Source organism: Homo sapiens, chromosome 2 (genome assembly GCF_000001405.40).
Source record: "Homo sapiens chromosome 2, GRCh38.p14 Primary Assembly".
NCBI classification, from domain to species: Eukaryota; Metazoa; Chordata; class Mammalia; order Primates; family Hominidae; genus Homo; species Homo sapiens.
In genome coordinates this window covers 135,574,491-135,598,318 of record NC_000002.12, presented here as the reverse complement: position 1 = coordinate 135,598,318, position 23,828 = coordinate 135,574,491, and the positions used below count along the sequence as shown (strand labels likewise).

General features: G+C 36.8%; 1 protein-coding gene across 7 annotated transcripts in view; it reads right to left on the bottom strand.

The window, feature by feature from the left end:
• The window catches only part of R3HDM1 (R3H domain containing 1), a 193,786-nt gene that overhangs the window by 126,951 nt on the left and 43,007 nt on the right, over nt 1-23,828 (bottom strand). For 3 of the 7 annotated variants that reach the window (NM_001282798.2, NM_001354199.2, NM_001282800.2), the window contains exon 1: nt 11,813-11,967. The exons of the other annotated variants lie outside the window; for them this stretch is intronic. The gene's annotated coding sequence lies outside the window, so the exon portion shown is untranslated. Of the gene's footprint in view, nt 1-11,812; nt 11,968-23,828 lie in introns of those variants that run through there. 7 annotated transcript variants of the gene reach the window in all.

The following is a 23,828-nucleotide window of genomic DNA, read 5'->3' as shown; positions in this document are numbered from 1 at the left end:
GTAATCACTACCAAACTATCAGAACTGCCAGGAATTATATAACCATTTTGTTTCTTTCTCTCAATCCTCCTATCGCCTGTGATGATGAGTACCAACTATGCAAACTTGGGTGGCAATAAGGATTCAGAGTTTGTGGCTAAGGAACAATGAGAAGGCAGTAGCTTACAAATGATAAATATGCATGGTTAAGTACCTTCCTCTATGAAACAAAGCAAGGCAGAATTAGGATCAACACTTTCAAAGGCAAACTAGTATATATGAAGTCTAAAGACAAGTAGTTTCTCTAGTGAAAATTTTAGTTAGAAGTATTAACAACAAAAATGCAATACTGACACTGACAATTCAAAATATCACTTATTATACTTGGGGTCTAAGTTTTGGTTTCACAACACAAAAGAACTGGAAACTTCGGTAGCCCCAACAATAAATACTCAAATTTCACACAACAAAAGTCAATTTACTCTAGGTTAACAAAATATTTAAAAATCATTTAAGTTAATTTATATGTGGGAAAGAAATCTCGCTCCTATAGGTAAAAATATTCTTCACAAAAATATTTAGGGGAAAAAGAGTTACATTATTGATGTTATCTGAACAGAATTTGGCAAAGCCCAAAAAAAAGGGTTGTTGCTTCCTTATCACTATCTAGTTATCCAATCCCGTTTCATTAGATAAGATGTTATGTTTTTTCTCTTAGAGACAGAAATATAACCAAGCAGGCACATCTATAAAGAAAATCAAATGCACAAAAGCAACCCATATCAAGTTCTCCCTGAGGTTATAAATTGGCACAACCAAATTGTTCAAATGCCTCTAGAAAGAAAGGCGAAGAGCACTGTTTATGCTCTATTTAGAAATAGTGGAAATTCACATTTGCAGTCACTTTGTCAGTCACTTGAACAAGAATATAAGCACTGACATTTCAAAATGTTAAATGTGCATGTGATTTGTAAACAGTTACTGTCATTTAACAAAAATTTACCAAATAACCACAGAAGGCACTATAGCTTTAATGAATATCAGTTACATTTAAAAAGAGTAAAGAGAATGAACTCCCTTGACCTAAAAGAGTTCGTTAAACCATGAAGAGGTTAATGATGACACTTACCAACAAATATAAATAATAATTTTAGGAGGACATTATAAGCAAGAAGGAAAGACTTTTGGTAGTTGAAGAATGAGAGAGAATAATTAGTGGAGTCTTGTAAGACTATATGAAACAAATTACTTTTAGGGAAAAAGTTATATGGAGAGGCAAGGTGTTACACGAATGTGCTGCATTCTGAGTGGAGAAATGGGGAAGACAATGGGCCTCTCATACATTGTGATCCACTTTAGAAAACAATTTGTGCTATCAAATGAATTTTAAATCCCACATATCCTATGACTCCACATTTCCACTTCTGGTGTAGATACACCCTAAGGAAACGCCTTATACAAAGGGACATGTACAAAAATATTCACTGCACTGTTTTATTTAAAAGCAAAGAATGGGAAAGACCAAATGTTGTATTAATAGGAAAACTGTTTTTTTCTTTTTAAAGTAAAAACAACTGTGGCATATTCATGTTGCACGATACCATGAAACGATTAAAATGAAATGAACTAAAACTATAGGTACAAATATAAGTCCAAAGAAGAATGTCAGAATGTTTAGTCAAAAAGCAGAATGAACTCTACCATAAAATGTAACGTATATAAAAATTTAAAAACCACACAAGCATGGATGGGAAGAGTATATACCTATTTCATGTTAGTAATTACCTCTGGAGAGGGAAATGAAAGGGATTGGGTAAGACGGAGAAGGGACTTCAAATCACATCTGTATTATTTTATTTTAAAAAAAGATCTCCAGCCAATATAAAAAAGGTTAGCAACTGTTAATTCTGAGTGGTCAGTACTGAGTGTTATAATGCTCCTTTTTTTGTTTATGACATTTTTCATTAAAAATGTCCTGAAAATAAATGAGAATAACAAAAAATGTGGATATATTTGAAATTAAGATTAGAAGCTTAGTATTAGGCTGGGCGCGGTGGCTCATGCCTGTAATCCCAGCACTTTGGGAGGCTGAGGTGGGTGGATCACTTGAGGTCAGGAGTTTGAGACCAGCCTGGCCAACATGGTGAAACCCTGTCTCTACTAAAATACAAAAATTAGCTGGGCGTGGTGGTGCACACCTGTAATCCCAGCTACTCAGAAGGCTGAGGCAGGAGAATCGCTGGAGCCTGGGAGGCGGAGGTTGCAGTGAGCTGAGATCGCACCACTGCACTCCAGCCTGGGCGACAGAACGAGACTCCCTCTCAAAAAGAAAAAGAAAAAGAAGAAACTTAGTACTGATCCCAGGAGCAACAGGAAGCTTGAGTAATAGAGGAACACATTTTAAGAGAAGCCAGGGAGAATGATTTTAGCTACAATATAGATTAACCCTGTTCTAGCAAACAAAATGAAAGTTTTGATGGAAAGTGACTAGGGTTTAGACAAAGAATCAAAAGGTGAAAGCTGAAAAGGAGAAAAGATATTCCATTCACTCAATCTCCAGACTGGATACTATGTACAGAGCACTGTTCTAGGTAATAGGGATACATGAGTGAACCAAGCAGATGGGATCCTAGAACCTAAAATGCTTACATTCTAGTGCAGAGACAAAATATACAAGATAATAACTGATTGCAATATGTGCTGTGAAACTGGTAATATTAACAGCAAACCCTTAAAGAGTTATTTATTATTTACTAAGCACTACTCCCAATGCTTTAAGTGTATTAATTCATTTAATCCCCATAAAAGCAGTATTACATAGTTTGCAGCTGAGGCAGAGGAAGATTAAGCAGCTTTTTCAAAGTAGCAAGACTAGTAAGGGGTAGAGTTAAGATATGAACTCAGGTAGTGTTGGCTCCAGAGCCCTTGGTATCAGCCACTACCTGTACTCCATGTAGAAATGAATAGATTAATATAATAGCAAGTAACTAACTGGGGGAAGCCAATTCAATACATGAGTGGTCAGGGAAAAGGTAAGGGCTGTGAGAGCTGGAAGAGTTATGAGAGGACACACTGAAGGTGCAGGTAGTGCTTGCTACCACTAAATATAGGAAATATATCTGGGAGGAAAATGGATTTGATGGCAGAACGATGATTTCAGTTTTGCCTACAGTTAATTTTAAGGTATCTTCAGGACATTCAGGTGGAGAAATCTAACAGAAAATTGGATATATAGACTTGGAGCTCAGGAAAGAAGTCAGCTAATGTTATTTATTTGGTGGAGAATCACTATATAGATTGAAGTTTTGAGTTATCAATGTTAATGAAGTTGCCCACAAGCCTTCATTGAAAAGGGGGGGGGGTGTAGAATCCCTAGGGAACACTGAACCCTTAAGGATTGAGGAGGAAAGTGGAAGATCACAATGAGTATACATGATTTGGTAATAAAGTTACCAGGAGATGCGAAGTTAGAGGAAGGTTGTCAGAATGAAAAAGTGTGTAGGCCACAGAAGCCAGTAAGGAAAGATGGGGAGAGGCTAGAGGTTTAGGAGGGAAGAAAGGTAATAAGAAGGAAAATCTGAAAGTGGATGAAATGAGAAAATGTAATCAGAAGTACAAACTGGTGAATAAGCCTGAAATGTATACATTATCCTAAGATACTGAAGGGAATGTGGCAGGAAAAGGAGGGAATTCATACCTAATAAATTTCTTCTTTTTTACCCCGAACCTATTTGCTAGAAGAGAGGGAGCCGGGATGGCTGTAGGGCTTGTGGAGAATGGTGACTGAGTCACTAAGGGGTGGTTCATTAAGGCCAACACGAACATTCAGGACTGTTTTGGCACAGTCCTTCTAAGGAGAAGTCTGTAAACTACAAGACTGGGGGTATCTCTAATTCTTTGACTGAGGGCATTGTAATGAGTGAGAGTGATGCAAATGAGAAAGCTCAGATGCTACTTGGCTATATAATAGGCTAAATGTTTTTTTCACAGCCATTTCCAGATCTGACTTTTTATCACTGTATGGTATAGTAGCTTAAGAAACGTAATTTAAAATGCCAAATCAATACATAAAAAGCTGGAAATTAGGAATGCTAGAGTACTAAAAGAACTATACATATATCTTAATGTAGCAGTGATCCTAGTTTAAATGAAAGCAAAAGCTAAAGGAAGTGTTTTCACTGGAGAACCAAAGCAGGGGAGATGTGGGAGACAAGCAGCTCCTGGTGCCCAGGTGACCAAGCCCACCACAGAAGCGGGTGAATGGCTTGCCTAACTTCTCTGAGGATGGCATGGTGCTGGTACATAGAAAATTCTAGAGAAGGCCAGGCGCAGTGGCTCATGCCTGTAATCCCAGGACTTTGGGAGGCTGAGGCGGGCGGATCACCTGAGGTCAGAAGATTGAGACCAGCCTGGCCAACATGGCAAAACCTCATCTCTACTAAAAATACAAAAATTAGCTGGGTGTGGTGGTGCGCGCCTGTAATCCCACTACTTGGGAGGCTGACGCATGAGAATCGCTTGAACCTGGGAGGTGGAGACTGCAGTGAGCCGAGACTGTGCCAGTGTACTCCAGCCTGGGTGATAGAGTCAGACTCCGTCTCAAAAAAATAAATAAAATAATAAAATAAAAAAGAAAATTCTAGAGAATATGGTACCCTGAAGACTAAACATGTTGGGAACACTAAGAGATACAACCTTTGGCATGGACATGAGCTAATTCGTGGCAAACACTAGCAAAATGGTAGTGGGCAGTGGGCCAGAGAAAGACAAAACTGGAAGATCATGAAACGGCTGTTCTTGAGCTCATGAGGAGATCCTGGATAATCCTGGGGATAACCTGGTGAGATTCTAAAGGGGTTTAGATATTGGCAGATATAGGTAAGAGACAATGCAAGAAAGTCAGGGCCATTAATGTAACTCTAAACCTGAAGTTAATGACCTCCTAATATAGTGCTAGTGAGGGTAAAATGTATTTTGCCTTAATTCTGAACCTACCATAGTCCAGGGTTATACTGAGAGCTCCCCATGTATGTGCTAAATGCAGGACTGAAATAAATAACTCAGGGTGTAATATGATCTGATTGGCATGAGGTAAAATCTCTTTTAAAGACTACACACAGGGCTAGGAGTGGTGGCTCGTGCCTGTAATCCCAGCACTTTGGGAGGCTGAGGTGGGTGGATCACTTGAGGTCAGGAGTTCGAGACTAGCCTGGCCAACATGGTGAAACCTCAACTCTACTAAAAATACAAAAATTAGCCAGGTGTGGTAGCAGGCGCCTGTAATCCCAGCTATTTGGAAGGCTGAGGCAGGAGAATCGCTTCAATCCAGGAGGCACAGGTTGCAGTGAGCCGAGATGGCACCACTGCACCCCAGCCTGGGCGAAAAAGTGAGACTCCATCTCAAAAAGAAAAAAAAAAGACTACACGGAGGTAGAGTATGGTGGCACATGCCCGCAGTCCCATCTACCACAAGAAAGGATCCCTTGGGCTCAGGAGTTTGAGGGTGCAGTACACTACGATAGCGCCACTGCATTCCAGTCTGGATGACACAGCAAGACCCTGCCTCTTAAAAAATAAAAATAAAAAAAAATAATAAAAAACTACATGGAGGAAAAAAAAAACCCAAACTGGTATTACCATCTAGTCATGCTTTGAGAAATAAACAGCAAAGAACATTCAAAAGGTTTGGATTCCTGGAAACTGAGCTATGGATAATAAGGATGTGAGAGGAGAGCTTAAGATAACAGGCATGTAAGAGAAAACATAGTTTTTTTTGTTTGTTTCCATACTGGATTGTTTACAATTCATTTTTCAAAAAATCATTCATTCTTTCAAAAGTGATCTGTTTAGAGATGCTTTTAAGGTACAAAATCAGCTAAAGGGAAGTGGTCAGAAGGAGAAAGATCACTCACTCAGTCTTGACCTCGGAGTTATCTCACATATAATTACCATAAAAGTAAATTACTTCCCACATAGGGTACACCAAAGACATTATCAATAATTGGAAAATAAGATATTGTGTAATGGAAAATTTGGCTGACCTTTGTCCTTAGTAGGCAGCTTCTAAATTCTTGGAATTTCTGGACTGATGGAAATGTCTTTGTCATTCATGGTGGGTCCTGATAATGTATGCTAATGAGGTTACTATGATATAGTTTATGTTAAGATGGTGATTCCAGATGGGGACTGGCTGGAAAGACTAAACATGTTAATTAGAAAGTTGGGGCTTTGAGGAATGTGATAAACTGTCTGACTTCCAAGGAAGGAAGTGAGGCTGGATATTGAATTCAATTGCATGGCCAATGATTCAATTAATCATGCCAATGTAATGAGATCCCAATAAAAACTCTGAACACTGAAGCTTGGGTGAGCCTCCCTGATTGTCTGCAAATTAACAAACGCCAATGTGCAGGAAAGACAATACATCTTGACCTCATGGGGAGAGAACAAAAGCTTTGCATTTGGGACTCACCTAGACCTTACCCTGTGTGTCTTTCCTTTTGGCTAGTTCTGGTTTGTATTCTTTTGGTACAATAAAGCTCTAATGCTGAGTGTAATTTGAGTTATTCTAGTCAATTAAGTCTGAGGGAACCTCCAAATTTGTAGCCAGCTGATCAGCAGGGTGGCCCAGTGGCTGAAGTGAGGGCAGTCTTGTGTAGGACTTGTCTGGCCTAACTGCACATTAGTGTCAAAAGTCATTGTGGGTGCATAACTTAGTCTCATTAAGTTATATTCTTTAATGTGTTTTGTGCTTTGTTCATAGCATGATAATGTTGGCAGTTCATAAGGTGAACATCATTATGAGCATAATCTTGGTTTCTAAAATTTAGCCATTCAGAATGCCATCAATGAGTAGGCATTTGCTTTACACAGACTTTGGCAAGTGTTGGACTATTTATAAGAAACCCTCAGTCTTATCGTATTTTAGCTAGACTTTGATGTGGTATTTTCTTCATGCTTTCAAAATTCGATTTCGCTTGATATATTTTTCTCTACCCTACTAATATATAACTAAATGAATGTATCTCTATATACTTTTTACCCATGACCAACATTTCATTTTTATTATAGGGTCACAATGAAAATCCTTTACAGGTCTTAAAGGTACAAAGCTTATTATCAAAGAATCTTAGCAAAATTCACGCTGGGCTCCTGGCACATTAACCCACCCAATGGTTCTTTGATGGCTTAAAATGTGAAACTTCACATTCTCTAGCAGTTGAATTGGTAGATCTAACATGACCCATTTCCTTCCTACACCAAAAAATCTGTTTCCTTTATAGGATTTTAATTTAGGTTACAATTGGTAGACATTCAGTTTCATAACTACTAATGTGCCACCCTTTATTTCTTGAATTGCCAACTACATTTTTTTCTAACAAAGGATCACAGCCCTCTCTCAAGAAAGCACCTAAGGATTATGTTAGAAGGAAAAGGCTAGAAAACGTTTGATTTCTTCTTTCTGTCAAAGAGCATTTTGTGGCCAGTAAAAATAGCTTAAAAACAGCTTGAGGCAGAACAGGTGCTGTCTTTCAGTTGCCATCATCTGCCTTCATACTCTATAAAAGGATGTGTACAACAAAGTGCAAACAATTTTACAGCTTGAAGGTGCTGCTGCTGGGCATGGGTGAACACTGCTAAAAAGCTCACAATCTCTCATAGTTCACACTACATACTATACATGTAGAGCTAGCAGATATAATTTCTCTTTAAAGTACCTGTCCAATTTAATTGGCTCAACTTCCTATGGCTTTGCACAAAACACAAAAATTCAATGGGTTTAATGCATTTCAGATTTTATTTTTTTGTGGCTTTATTTCCTAGCTATGTCTACCACATCAAATTGTTTTAGTAGTTATTCATATTTAACCCATGGGTTTCTTTACAATTGTCTCATTGGAGCTCAAGGGGGCATACAGTTTTTTTGTCATTCATTTTCTACCTGTTAAGGAAAGCTGTGGTTTAGCCAGCATTCTGAAAGTACTGGAATAAAAAAATGTTCTGCTCTCTCTCTCTAGTGACCCCAAGCTGAAGTCTGACATCTGATGTGCCTAGTAATCAGTCACTGTATATTTTCAAACTACTTCCAAAAACTGTATGTGATCTCTGTTGATGTGTCTGCTATTGTAGAGGTACTACATAACTTTCTAAGCATTTGAAAATGAAAAGAGAGAAAATTTAAAATTAACAAAGCATATTGAGCAATGATTTATAAACACTATAAAGCAGTGACTCTTACTTATTTTTGGGCCATGAAAGGATCCCTCTTGAAAATCTTATTAAACCCAAGGATCCTCTCCTCAGAAATGCAGCAATCACATGTGCTTACTCACACGTGTATGTTCACAGTTTACACATGCTTTTAGGGACTGCTTGGTTCTCTAGAAGCCTATACATGAATCCTAGCTAACAACCCCCTTTTTATATCTATGTATATTATAATAAAATGACATGCATATTTATAAGATGACAGATTTGCATCATATATATTATATAATGTAACAGATTTGCATAATATATATTATATAATGTGACAGATATATTATCCAAGTCACTTTATAACATACATATATAAAATATAAAATAAGGGTTAAGTAGGATTCATATATAGGCTTCTGGAGAACTAAAACTGTGGAAACATATATTTATTATATAAACTTGCTCTGTTCAAGTGAGAAGGTGGGGATGAGTAGAGCAGTGTTAACTGGGCTTCAGGCTTTTCTCTATTTCCTGAAGTACTTTTGTGGTACCCTGGGGCTTAGAGGAACTCGGTTTGGAAAAAATAAATTATATTAACTGTATTAAAGATCTCAGTTATTAATCAGAAGGAGGGTTGGTCAGCTGTGCAAGTATGGCAAGATTTAGAGATGATGATTTTGTTGGTTCTGTTTCATTTCCACCTTTTGTCCCCTACAACCAGAGGGGGATCACAGAGCAGAGATGAAAACTATACAAAGCAGGAGAGACATCAAAAGAATGCAGAAACAAGGAATGCTACATAATTTCAGAGGAGGAAGAGCTGTATGTGAAAATGACATTTAACTCAGCTCTGAGAAGATTTTCATCTTATACATCTTTCTTTGCTTCTTGAATACTTTATATATATAACTTGTTACTTGTAAATCTAATTTTCTTTCCTGATAGCTTTATGCTAGTTATGACAAAGCCATACTGCTATTAATATATACTATGCTTGAATCAAATGGTATTTTAATCTGCTTTACAAAATGAAAACAATATAATGACAGTTGCTAGGTTTGTGATTATCTAAACACGTAAATGCTAAATGAGCGTCTGTTCTTCTATTTTAAATACTCAGATACAAAATACAAAATCTTGAGGAAAACATTAAAAAATACTCTCTGTACTGTTTTCGCAACTTTCTATAAATCTATAATTATTTCAAAACAAGAGGTTAAAAACAAAAGAAGAAAATACTAGCATATATCTGCTGTTAACACATTTGAAAAATACAGATGGTATAAAAAAGTCAATACAAGTTTTAAATACAAGTTTACCCATAATCTGAAATATAACTATGAAGTGGGGTATTATCTTATGTATCCTTAAAAGGAAAAAATTTTAAATTGCTTTCTATAAATCTTAAAAATTAATGGAAAAATCCTTTAAGAGAAAAATAATTCCCTTTAATAGTAGCCTAACACATATATCTTTAGAAGACAAAAAATTTTTAAATAATGACTTCAATCCACTTATAAGACCTCAAGCATAAGTTTCTCAAAATTAAAAAACTGAGCAAACAGTAAATCATGTTTATTTAAAATATAGTATTTAATTTCTTTATCTAATGGTTTATTAATTCACCAAAAAATTTAAATTTAAGTGCAGATCTGGCTCCAATGAACTGAAAACCTGTATGAGAATGAAAATTTGCAGAGTGAATGTGTGTGACTGAAGCTTAGACAGAAAAGAGAAAGATCTGGGAGTAGGGTGGGAAAGGGAGCAGAGTGCCAAGAGAGGGAAGGACGGAGGCAGAGAGACTGAAAGAGGTGTAGCCAGGGAGACACACAGAGACAGAAAGGTAGAGAGAAAGAGCAAAAGGATGAGAGAGGGAGAAGAAAGAAGGGCACATAGAGAAACAGACAAAGGAAGAGGGAATGATGGACAGAGACTAACAGATAGGGACAGGAAGAGACCAAGACACAGTGGGAAAGCAAGAGACAGAGAATGGGAAATACTGAAACAGACAGGGAGAGAGAGTCAGAGGGGCAGAAAAGGAAAGACAGAAAGAGAAAGAAAAGAGGAAGGAGGGAGGTAGAAAGATAAAAGAGAGAGAGAGAGAGATTAAGATAGATTTAGTCAGAAAGGGAGAGACACCCTGAAACACCAGGTAGATGAACAAAAAAGGGAGACAGACTGAGACAAAGTAGGAAAGACAAATGTAGAGGGAGAGGGGGAGAAAAATGGGTGGGGATAGGGAGAATGGAAGATGGAGGGAGAGATGAGATAAATCAAGAGGGAGAGACAAATATTCAGAAAGTCAAACAGAAAAAGAGAGGGAGGGCAAGATAGAGACGCACAGACAAACAGAATCCTAAAGGAAAAAGAAGAAATGAAAATGAGCAAAAGTATGAAAAAGCAAAGCAGAATATGACAAAGGATGGATAAAAGCAGTTGTAAGTAAGAACTGAGAGTATGTGTTGCTTATTTTAATTTTTTCTTTTATAGTTCTCAAGAAAAAACTTAAAATCTGAGGCTTAAAAATAATGAAATTCTCTTGGCATTAGGGTGAAGCAATGCATCTGATAGAAGACCCTAATTTTAATAATAGCTATTAATATTTTCATGACCCTAATTACTTACACAGTTGGGAATCAGAAATAGACAAAAGAAAGAGCAATGACATTCAGCGTTGATAAAAGGCCATTTAGTGATTTTCTTCCTATTTCCTCTAGAAAAGAGATGAATTATTTCTTAAGAACAAAATAATTGTTTTGTAAATGGAGGGGGAAGGAATTCATATCATAACAATTCCAAATGCTGTTAAAATTTCAGCTAATTCCAGATAAAAAGCAAGCAAAACTCTCAAAAACCTTCTAAACAATTCAATTTTACACTAATGGACATGTGTTAGTCATTCAGTATCACCTACATGATGAGATTTCACTTTTGAGGAATCAAAGTATCAAGGTAAATGTCAAAGTTTTCAGACTGTATAATTAGGAATAAGATACTCCTCAAAAATTACATAGTTTGATTAGCATTTGCTCTCTTTTGCAATGTGATATCTGATTATGTTAATCATAGCAATGACAGATCTAGGTTTTGCTGTTACAAGCACTTTAAAAATTATTCTACCTCTTCCCCCAAAAGGGTAGAAAACCGTTACCATGAGTTTTGAAAGTTAAGATTCTTAGCTTCTTAATTTCCAAAAGTCTCATTCACATTGTATTTGTTCCACAATAAAATTTTTAAAATTCAACAAGCCATATAGTATGTCTATTTTAAGATGAACTTGAAAGAGAAGTCATTTTTCCAGCTGACAATTTGCTGTGCTATACACAAATACCAATTAGCACACAGGTAAACCATTCTATCAGTAAGTTACAAGAAATATCAAACATGTGAGGGGTGGGGAGAAGAAATTGGTGCTACAGCTGAGAAGTAAATGACTCTACTTTTCACTCCACCAACCTAAACAAATATATTTTTGCAAAAATAAACAAAGACAATTTTAAAATGCTCTCACTTTCAATATAGTAGAATTTTATCACACATCCTCTAACAAAAATTATGGTACTAAGTGAACATGAATACTTCATGTATCAGATTACATTCTATACAAATTTAGCAAAAGAATTGAGTCACATACCTTCATTGTATTGGTATTTGCTTCATCATACAGAGTTAAGGAGATGTTCTTTCCATAGTACCTGTAAACTGATGCTCTGCATTGCTCCTCTATAGAGCTCACTGCACACATCCAGCTGATTAGTCTGGCATTGGGAGTGCCTGCTAGAGCAGTCTAAAGCACTTGCCGAGGAGGACTCAGACAATAGAAAGTCAACAGCTGTATGTTGTGATGTCAGTAACACTCTAGCCAGTCACCACCCAGAATATCTGAAATGCATCAGAAGCTATATTGAGCTCTTCATTAGCAATTCAGAAGCAATGATGCAAAAGCCCATGAAACTGTGAATATGCAAAGACTGTCAGGATTTTTGAGATTTCTCGCTATTAAAATATTGTTGCACAACAATGCCTGATCCCAGGTTGAAGAAAAAAAGTTGAGACAACCATATTTTTCTATAATTCCTTAAAGAACAAGCCATAAATAATTTAGGTATGGTTAATATATCATTTTTAAATTACTCTCTTTGACACTTTTAGTATTACTAACAAAAAGCCTTAAAAAAAGGCAATTTGTCTGTAATAGCTAACTTCCTGTGACAGTTTTGCATCTTCCAACTGACTTTACCTGTCACAAAGAAAATGAATTAACAGCACAATTCCTTATTTCTTAATCTGTTTTTGCTAAAATTAAAAGAAGCTTGCTTATTCTGGCAAGAGCATTACTTCTTCATACCAACAGATGGAGATAGCAATAGAACTGTGATCCGAGGACAATTCTGCCTCATGTCAGATGCTTGTTGGCTATATTAGCTCAAGTGGCGGACTTAGAAGAAAAGGAATCAACCAAAACCAAATTTAAAAAACAATGTTTAATAATTATAAGGCAAACAAATAAGATAAAACAGAATACTAATTGCATCTATTGGGCAACACACTAAACCAGATGAGTATGTTTTCTGGATTCTAACTATTGTTTTCTGTGATAGCTGGGTATAGCATGTGCCTCTGTTTCCCATTTTGTTAAACAAAGATCATACTTTCCAAAAGCATACAGGAATGTTGTAAGGATCCATCAGACAATGCTCATACGTTACCTGCACGATGTGAAGAAAGATCTGTACACCAACCAGAAATCCCACTTTTCTATGTCACTAAAATGTTAAGTCATGTAGAGTTTACACAACCTTACGGATTAATAAACCAGCAGTTTCTTTATACCAACTTGACAAACACTAAAAGATACCAGCTTTATAGTATAATGTGAAAAAATATTAACACCTTTCCAAAAATAGACTCGGCCCTAGAAGTAGATTGTTAAAAATACATAGAAATCCACAAAATCTTCCTAAATCTTCAAACAACAAAGGTGATGAGGCAGCTAACAACACTGAGACTTATCTGAGAAGCTTCCCGCTGATTTACCTAAAATTTCTCCAGTGTACAATCTTTTACTGCACCCTGAACTTTCTGGTAAAAATCAAGTGCCAGCCTAGGTACCCAAGAAACAAATATCCAAGCTCCTAACTTTTTTCCATAAAGAGCTACTGCTTTTGCCAAAGGGTATAAATGATTTTTTTCTCAGATAAAATCTTTGTTACTTATGAGAAACATATTTCAAGGCAGCTTTTCTTAAAAACTGTAACAGAAACTCTTGTTATGAAACAGATGGACAAGCTAAAATGCAGAATAATGAAGCAACCCACTTACACTGTAGCAAAAACAAATGAATATTTTCTACTACATTTCAAAAGATTCTCTCTCTCTCCAAGCTTTGGAAATTGTTAGGTAGGCCTTATAAACTCAAGTAATTGTGAATTAGTGAAAAGTCATAATTAAAAATATCTTAAAATACAGTTTTATTGCTGTCAAGTAGAGGCCTTCCTCTAATTATGAAGGGAAGTAACTTCGCTGTTAATAGTGAGCTTTAGTGATAATAAACCGTTAATTTAGGAATAATCTACAACTTGTTAGTAAGACAGAATCTTATCTTTTAATATTCTTTTTGGATGCTACACTGGTAATTGTATGAGTTGGCTGTGTCTCTACCTTACAAATGTTAAAACACAAATATGAAACAGGTTTAGGTTTCTAATGATGTTGTGGAACTGTGCTTAAACATGCTACCGAGGTCAGGTAATGAAAACTTTCAAATAAATCCTCAATAACAGAAATTTGAGTTAATATTTATTTATTTATTTTAGACGGAATCTCGTTCTGTCACCCAGGCTGGAGAGCAGTGGCACAATCTCGGCTCACAGCAACCTCTGCCTCCCAGGTTCAAGCGATCCTCCTGCTTCAGCCTCCCGAGTAGCTGGGATTACAGGAAACTGCCACCACAACTGGTTAATATTTATATTTTTATTAGAGATGGTGTTTCACCATGTTGGCCAGGCTGGTCTTGAACTTCTGACCTCAAGTGATCCACCTGCTTTGGCCTCCCAAAGTGCTGGGATTACAGGTGTGAGCCACCATGCCCAGCTGAAATTTGAGTTAATAAAATTTAACTTTTTGCTTGCACCTTAAATTTTGTGCTATCCATTTTGGAATGTCCAGCAACTTCTGCAAAAATAGAAGTATATTGACTCTACAGGGTTTAACTGTGGTTATAAGGTAAAAAGATAATACCCATCTGAATGATAGGAACTGGGGCAACTATGGGACTAACATCAGAAATTTAATTATCTAAATCGAATTACTAACATGGCTGATAAACTTTCTTCTTTATTTTTCTGGTGGCTTAGCTCTTGCGGAACTTTTTAAAGATCTCAACCTTTACAGGTAAAGACAACATTTGAACCTAATCCTCTCACATACTTCCTAATACATTCTAAATAAAAAGAGCAAATGATTACTATAGCCAAGGGCCATCTTAGGGTAACAATTTTTAAAAGAAATTTAACACATCTCTTGAAGTAGAAAATCAATATTTTGCAACCACTAAGGTAATCACTGATTCTGGCAAGGATCATAAATAAATGACAAAACCTATTAGATGAGAGATGGTCATTGAACAAGATAATCTTTGGTTACTGATAACTTTTAATTTCAAAGGTATGTTTTCTACCAGCAGACTCTACCTTAATCAAGTGATCAAATTTAACATCACCAATAATCATGCAGGCTAACCTTTCATGCCTCCTGATATAATGCAACAGGGAAAAAAAATCACCTATGCTGTATTTCTCCAAAAATATTTAATCTGAATCTAATCATGAAACAATCAGATAAATTCAGACTGTGGACTACTCTACAAGAGAGCTAGCTTTAATGCTGAAAAAAAAATCAGTATTATGGGAAAAAACTGGGAAAATTACAGAAGACTAGAGAGACCGGTAAACAAAATGCAAAGTGTTATATCTGATTAGATTCAGGAATCTGAGGAGCAACTGAAGCAGTATACACATGGTTGGTATATTAAATGATTACATCTTATAAACGTTAAATTTCTTGGGTGTGATAAAAATACATTAGCCAGAGAAACAGAGACACACACAGAGAGAGAAAGCAAATGTGCCGAAATGTTAAGAACTGGTGAAGACAGAAGGCTATCTGTGTGTCTATTTTATAACTTTAAACTTTTCTGTGTAACCCTTTCCAGTAGGCCTCCTTTCCTTTTCTTTTTGAAGTAAAGATCTATATTTACTGCAGCATTTTTTATTTATTAAGAATTTAAAACATTTTAAAAACTGGTTAGGATTATTTTTTCTTTACAATGTTACAGGGGCAGAAGGAGACCATTATATAGCAATAATCCTCTATTAGCAAATATACAACATTCTCCTATTAACTATATACAGTACTGTAATTTGAAGTAAAAATACCTCACTTTGAAATATAAAAATAGACTGCAGAGGATGTTATCCTCCTAAGGGAGGGTTCTTTTCCACTACTCCATACCACGCAGTGTGGGTTTCTGGCCCTCCAGACTTCCCCCATTCCCTGCACCCTGTACTGAGTAAGCTGATCTCCCCAAGTGGTATTCTGTAGCAGAGTCACACTGCCAACAGCCCAGGGACACAAAACGACCAAGGCATTTCAACTCTGGAAGCTTCCTCATTCCCTTAAGATTCTGCTTTTACTGAACATAAAATTGTAATAACCTAAAAGGAGGTAAGAAATTCACTTCCTATGATCCATTTTTAATTTTCATTAAAATTAAAACCATTGACTAAATAATTTGTATTTATTTATTTATTTGAGACAGTCTTGCTCTGTTGCCCAGGCTGGAGTGCAATGGTGCAATCTCGGCTCACTGCAACCTCCGCCTCCCGGGTTCAAGTGATTCTCCTGGCTCAGCCTCCCTAAGTAGCTGGGATTACAGGTGTGCGCCACCATGCCTGGCTAATTTTTTTGTATTTTTAGTAGAAACGGGGTTTCACCATGTTAGCCAGGCTGGTAACGAATTCCTGACCTCAGGTGATCCGCCCACTTGGGCTTCCCAAAGTGCTAGGATTACAGGTGTGAGCCCAGCAAGATGGAAGGATTTTTAAAAGGAGGGAATAAATCAAGAGATATGGGATATACAGTTACAAAGCACTCATCTATTATCTCATTTAGTCCTTAAAATTCTGAGGAAAAATCAATTCACCAAGATAATTTGATGTCAAGGCTTAGAGTCAATATACTTCTTATGAATCTAAGTTGAGGATAATGATGCAAAGAAATTAAGAACATAAACTGAGAGATTTTACAATAATTTAGACATAAGGTACCATGAGTTAAGGTCAGAGAGTTAACTGGGAAAGAAAAATGAAGACAGTGGAGAGATACTTCAAAGTAAAACTTAGAAGGCTAATAAAAATTCAGAAACTTGAAAACCTGGATAAATAAAAGAATGTTGATGCCACTAGAAGTAGGAAATTCGGCATGGTCAACTGGGATAGGGGCAAAAATACTAATTTCTACTCTTGTTCACCACTCACCAAAAGCAAGTAAACAAGCATTAAGCAAATAAACAATCCTAAATCATCCTCTTCAACTTAACATGTCATAGAGAGGAGATACTATTAATAAGTGGTGAGGAAAGATTGTGGTATTAGTCAGTCAGGTGAGGTCAATCAACAGTCCACAACCAATGGTGAAATGAGGTATCCAAAGTTCCAGCCTCAAAGACTACACAGATAATTATAGAAATAAGGCACCAAGACCGTTAAAGGTAAAGTGAAATGTTCCACAGGTGGGAAATGGAATTGGAATTATGAGTATAAGGAAGGACGCATGAGAGTTCCCCTACTGTGGATCTACAGGGAAACAGGACAGACAATGCTCTCAAGGATCTTATACCCCACTTTCTTCATACAGTATCTCTGGGCTCCATCCTCACTACTACCTTAATATAGGCAACCATTATTAGTTCCTGCTTAGATTTCCCCAAGAGGCTTCTTACTGGTCTCCAGCCTTTAAAATGGTTCTGCTGCCTTCTAATTTATTCTTCATACCATAGATGGTCTAGTATAAGATATAAGCATTATAATAGAGTAGTAAGTGCCAGGACAGGGGAACTAAAGGATGCCATGGAAGTATCTGAGGGGGACACTGAAAGCCAGTCTTTGAAGGTCAAAGAATGTTTTGTGGAGGAACTAATACTTAAGCTATCATTTGAAAGAATTAGCCAGGGAAAGAAATAAGACAAAGAATTAGAAGAAGAAAGAACAATATGAACAAGATCCAAAAAGCATTAGGAAGAGTGGATCTGAAAGTAACTCAGCAAGGCAACAGCTTCAAGTTCAAGGAATGAGTGAATTTCAGAGTAGCTCAGCAAGGCAAGAGCTGCAAGTTCAAGGAAAGCTAAGAGTTTGTTGTTTTAAAACAATAAAGCTGAAGATGTAAGTAGGAGCAGACAGGCAAGGCCTTGTGAGTGAAGTTTAAGAGCTGGGACTTTTCCTGAAACTCATTAGGGAGATAATGAAGACAATTAGGAGAGTGACATGTACAGATTTTTCACTTAAAGGGTGACAGCTGATGCCAATCAAATGGATGAGTCCTCTAAGGGAGAGTATATTAAGAGAACAAGCAAAGAAATCAATGGTTGACTCCAGGAGAATAAGAATAAATTCTATTTAGAACAAATTCCAATAATATTGCAAAAAAAACCAATAATAAATACAAGTATCTCTTGTGACTCTATTCAGTCTTAGTTCAAATAGTGAGAGCCCTGATAGCAAAGCTTACTATGTCATGAAAATTTTTCTGGCTTCTGAGCTCAGATAACAAGAGTTTAGGTAACAATAGATACCTGGTACCTCAAACCTTTATCATTTATTCATTCATTTATTTAGAGACAGGGTGTCCCTCTTGCCCAAGTTGGAGTGCAGTGGTGCGATCTCAGCTCACTGCAACCTCCACCTCCTGGGCTCAAGCCATCCTCCCACATAAACCTCCCGAGTAGCTAGGACTAAAGGGTGCATGCCACCATGCCCGGCTAGTTTTTGTAGAGACAGGTTTTTGCCATATTGCCCAGGCTGGTCTTGAACTCCTGGGCTCAAGTGATCCGCCTGTCTCGGCCTCTCAAAGTTCTGGGATTACAGTGCTGCACAAGCCACTATGCCCGGCCCCTATTTTTAAAGATGTTTTATTGGAAATAATTTTAGACTCGGAGAAAAGTTGCAAAAATAGCACAGACTTCCTGTATATACCTCATCCAACTTCCCCTTATAATGTGTTACAAAATTATAGTACAATTACTGATATCAGAAAATTAACATTGATGTAACACTATTAACTAATCTACAGACCTTATTTAGATTCCTTAAGCAAACACCACCAGTTTCATGATTAGACTGAACTTAGGCATTTTTGGTAGGGATACCGCGGAAGTGAAATTGTGCCCTTTCAGTGCATCAGGGAACACATGACGCTGGCGTGTCTCAGATTACTAGTGACTTCTACTTTACCTGGTTAAGGTGGTATCTGCCATTTCCACCCCCCCCCGCCACCCCATAGTTACCATTTTTCTCTTTGTAATTCATATCTTGTGGGGAGATATTTTGTGACCTTGAAAATATCCTGCTTTTCATCACAACTTCTCCATTGAGTATCTGCTGATAGTTCTTGCATGCAATATTTATCATAGTGTTGTCTGCCTAATGATGGTTTTTATTTCTCTCTTTTCATCTATGCTAATTGGAATTCCATGTAAGGAAGAGCTGTCCTTCCTATCCCTCCCATCTATCTTATCTACCTAAATGCCTGTACATGTGTTTTATTTTGTGGGTTACAATCTAATATTCTCATTATTTTGTTTCTCAAATTATCCCACTTTGGGCCATTGGGAGTTCCAACAGATTGGTTCCTGTTGTCCTTTCAACATGCCCTAATCATTTTTTGAATTACTTTCTGGCGCCACGTGATGTTCCAGGCACATCTTGTATTATTCTTGCGCCAGACTCAACCATTTTTCGAAGGACCCATGGTTCCCTTTACTGGAGAATGGCATTTAAAGAAGATCCGAACACTAATGTGCTTACTAGGATATCATTCCTCTGGCTCTCTCAGGACAGAGCTCGGGAATATGTGTATGTACAGTATACACATATTCACACATCTGTATTATGTATTTTTGTATTCATACATCATATATACATATATATTAAAAACCACGACTTCATATGGATACCTCAAACTCCAGTCAATGAACACAGGGTTAATTCTAGCCTACTATCTTAATCTGTAACTTCTTTATACAACAATGAGAAGTCTGACTTTCATTATCTACAATATATTCACTTATTTTTAAAACTTTACACAAAAGGCAGTTTCAGAATTCCTAAGCGATACCTCTGTGAGAAACACATTTACTACTTACAATATTTGTTTTTTGTCTTGTGTTTAGCTTTAGAATGCCTAATCAAAATACTGTTTTCCAAAGTTACTTAGTTCTTTTCTTCCCCACTCAAGTCAGTGTTATTCATTGACTTCATAAATCAAGTTAATATTGTTCATCTGTTAGTGCTTGCATTACATTTTGGGCTCCTTTCTCCACACTTGCCAACATCTAAGTTATTTTATGTTATTTCTGGAGACTACGTAAAAAATTACCAGGGTTCTGAGAGTCAAAGTCATATAAAAAACTATAGTCAGAGAAGTGCTGCTCCCTATCCCTACTATCTTATTCCCATTACTCCCAATCTTTCTACCCCATTCTCATGTATTCCCTGTAAGAAACCAGTTTCAATAGTTTCTAGTTTATCATTCTGGTATTTCTTTCACACATTAAGTTGACATCTGTGCCTGTATTTCCCTGCTTCATAAAGAGTAGCATATTATAGATACTCTTCATACTTAATTCCCTTAATTGCACTGCAAGTAGTTCAGCGATTTTCCTCATTCTTTCTTACAGTGACACAGTACTGCTCCATTGTGTGGCTGTACCATCATCTATTCATCATTCTCCTGCATGGGTATTTAGGCTACTTGCAATATTTTGCAATTACAAACACTCCTAAAATGGATAAACTTCTTTAGAGAAGATTCCTAGAAGTGGGATTGTTGGGTCAAAAGATAAGTGCATATGTCAATTTATTAGGCACTGCTCTTCAGAAGAAGAGCTATGCTAGTGTGTATTTTTACCAGCAGTATCTGAAGGTGCCTTGCACAGAATTAGCTGTCATTCTTTTTAGTTTTCACTAATCTGGTAGATGAGAAATGGCGTCTAAGTGCTGTTTCACTTTTTTTTTTTTTTTTTTTTTGAGATGAAGTTTCATTCTTGTTGCCCAGGCTGGAGTGCAATGGCGCGATCTTGGCTCGTCGTAACCTCTGCCTCCCGAGTTCAAGCGATTCTCCTGCCTCAGCCTCCCAAGTAGCTGGGATTACAGGCGCCCACCACCACGCCTGGCTAATTTTTGTATTTTTAGTAAAGACGGGGTTTCTCCATGTTGGTCAGGCTGGTCTCGAGGTTGAGAAACCTCAGGTGATCCACCCACCTTGGCCTCCCAAAGTGTTGGGATTACAGGCGTGAGCTTATTTCTCTGTATGAACTTAAAACTTTTTATGTGCTTAAGGCCCAATTTTCATTGTTTGTGAGTTGTCCATTTATGTCTTTTCCCCATTTTTTCTATCAGGTCTTTGGTCCTTTGGTGCTCAAGGCTTTTTTTTTTTTTTTTTTTTTTTTTTGGTCATTTAATTATTAAGAGTTCTTTATATATTAGGGATATGGCTTCTTAGCCTTTTGGCTAAAATCAAGTGTAGTATACATTAGTGCTATAGGCCTTTTGGCTAAGGTATATGTTGAAAAAATTTTCTTCCAGTTTGTCAGCTTGTGTTTTTGACTTTTTTTCATGTCGGTTTTTGCCATGTAAAATTTTCTTATTTTTATATAGACGTATTTGTCAATCTTTGGTTGTCTCTGCATTTTGAGTCATAGCCCAAAAGCCTTTTTCATACACAAAGGTTAAATAAGAAAACATGGGTTTTCTTATATGGTCTTTTTTTCTCTCTCTTTAAACATTTAGATTCTTAACCTGTTTGGAGGTTTTTTTTTTTTCTTTTGTAACAGCTAATTATTGGATATAATTTATATAGCATACATTCATCCATTTAAATTCATTCAGTGTCTTGTTCAGTGGCTTTTAGTATATTCATACAGTTGTGTAGCCATCACAATAAATTTTAGAACATTTTCATTATTCCAACAAGAAACTACTGTACCTTTCATCAGTCACCCCTCTTTAGACCAAACTCCCTTAGCCCCCGGCAACCACTAATCTACTTTCACACTTTATTGACTTGCCTATCATTGAAATTTCATATAAATGAAATCATACAACCTGTGGCCTTTTGTGACTGCTTTATTTCACTTAGTATAATGTTTTCAAGTTTCACCCACATTGTAGCATGTATCACTGCTTTTCTTTTTATTGCTGAAATATGTTTCATTGTATGGACATACCACACTCTGCTTATCCAATTATCAGTCAATGGACATATAAGTTTGAATTTTTTGGCTGTTATGAATAATGCTATGAAAACCTGTGTACATGTTGTATTTATTCTTATACATGGTACAAGATGTGTATCTAATTTTATCTCTTTCTAAATATCTCAGTACTATTTATTCAGTGGTATCATTTATTATCTGGGACATTCAGATATATCGGTACCATTTATTAAAAAGCCAATTTCTACCTCAGTGATTTAACACTTTTTTTTATTTTTTTTTTGCGACAGGGTCTCACTCCTTCACCCAGGCTGGAGTGCAGTGGCACTATCATGGCACACTGCTGTCTTGGATGTCCCGGGTTCAAGCAATTGTCCCATCTCTCAGCCTCCTGAGAAGCCACCATGCCTGCTAATTTTTTAGTCAGGGTTTCGCCATGTTATCCAGGGTGGTCTCAAACTGCTGGGCTCAAGTCATTCCCCTGCCTTGCCCTCCCATTGTGCTAGGATTACAGATGTGAGCCACTGAGCCCAGCCCAAGATACCATTTTTATTATTTCCACTTGTACCTGTGTCTGTTTCTGGGCTTTCTATTCCACTTCTCTATTTATTTATTCATGTGACAGTAGCACACAGATTCAATTATAGAAGCTTTATAGTATATGTTTTAATGTCTGGTAGAGCTAGTCCCACCAGCAGTTTTTCTTTTCCAGTTTCTTCCTGGCTATTCTTGTATGTTTGTTTTCCCATAAGACTTAGTATCAACTTGTCTAACTTAAAAAGTAAAAAAGGCTTCTTGGTGTTTTTACTGTGAATGCATTAATTTCAGAAATTAAGGAGAACTGACATCTTTATAATGATGAGCCATCCTATTCAAATCTAATTTTATGACTTAAGTATTGAAAAAGTTTCTTCCTGTAGGTTTTGTACATTTTTATGTTTAATAAGTATTTAATCTTTGTTGCTATTGTAAGTGGAGTTTTCTCTACCATTGTGACTGACTGCTAACTGGCTACTGTCTGTATATGAGTCTATTGATTTTTTAAGTTAATTTTATATCCTGCTATTTTATTGAATTCTATTATCATTTGGATTAATTTTACCAGTGATCCCCTGTAGTTTTCCAGCCATATTACAGGTTGACTATCCCTTATCAAAAATGTTTGGGTTGGGCCGGGCATGTTGGCTCACGCCTGTAAATCCTAGCACTTTGGGAGGCCAGGCGGGTGGATCACCTGAGGTCAGGAGTTCGAGACCAGCCTGGCCAACATGGTGAAACCCTGTCTCTACTGAAAATACAAAAATATCCAGGTGTGGGGACAGGTGCCTGTAATCCCAGCTATTTTGGAGGCTGAGGCAGAAGAATTGCTTGAACCTGGGAGGTCAAGGTTGCAGTGAGCCAAGATTGTGCCATTGCACTCTGGCCAAAACCAAAAAACAGTTTGGGTCGAGGTATTTTGAATTTTTTTGCATTTTGGAATTTCTTCATTATTTTCATTGCACCCTTAATCCAAAATCTGAAGTGCTTCAATAAGCATTTACTTTGTGCATCGTGTGACTGCTTAAAAAGTTTTGAATTTTGGAGCCTTTCAGATTAGGGATGCTCAACCCGTTATCATATAATCTGCAGAGATAGTCTTTCTTCTTTACCCATTCTTATGCCTTAAATCGATGTATCTAACTATATTGGTTAATACCTCCATTATAATGTTGAACAGCAGTGAAGATAGTGCACATTTGCCTTGTTTCTGTATACTGTGGAAATACTTCTAGTATTTCCCATTATATATAAGATTCCTGGCTTTAGGACTAAGATATATAAATTTTATCATTTCAAAAATGTATCCCACAATCCCTATTTGAGAGAGCGGGAGAGAAATATCACAAAATGGGTGGTCTTGTTGAAGGCTCCTTCAGCACCTATGGAGACACTGAGTTTTCCTCACAAATCTATCAATAGGGAGTATGTTAATGAGTATCCTAACATTAAGCCAGCCCTGCATCCCTGAAATAAATCTCACATGGTCATGGTATATCACTTCACAATGATAATATTTAATTTAGCACTTCTGCATCAATATTCTTATGGGATGCTGATTTATAGCTTTCTTTTTTCAATACTGTTCTTACCAGGTTTAAGTATCAATACTATATTTGTTTCA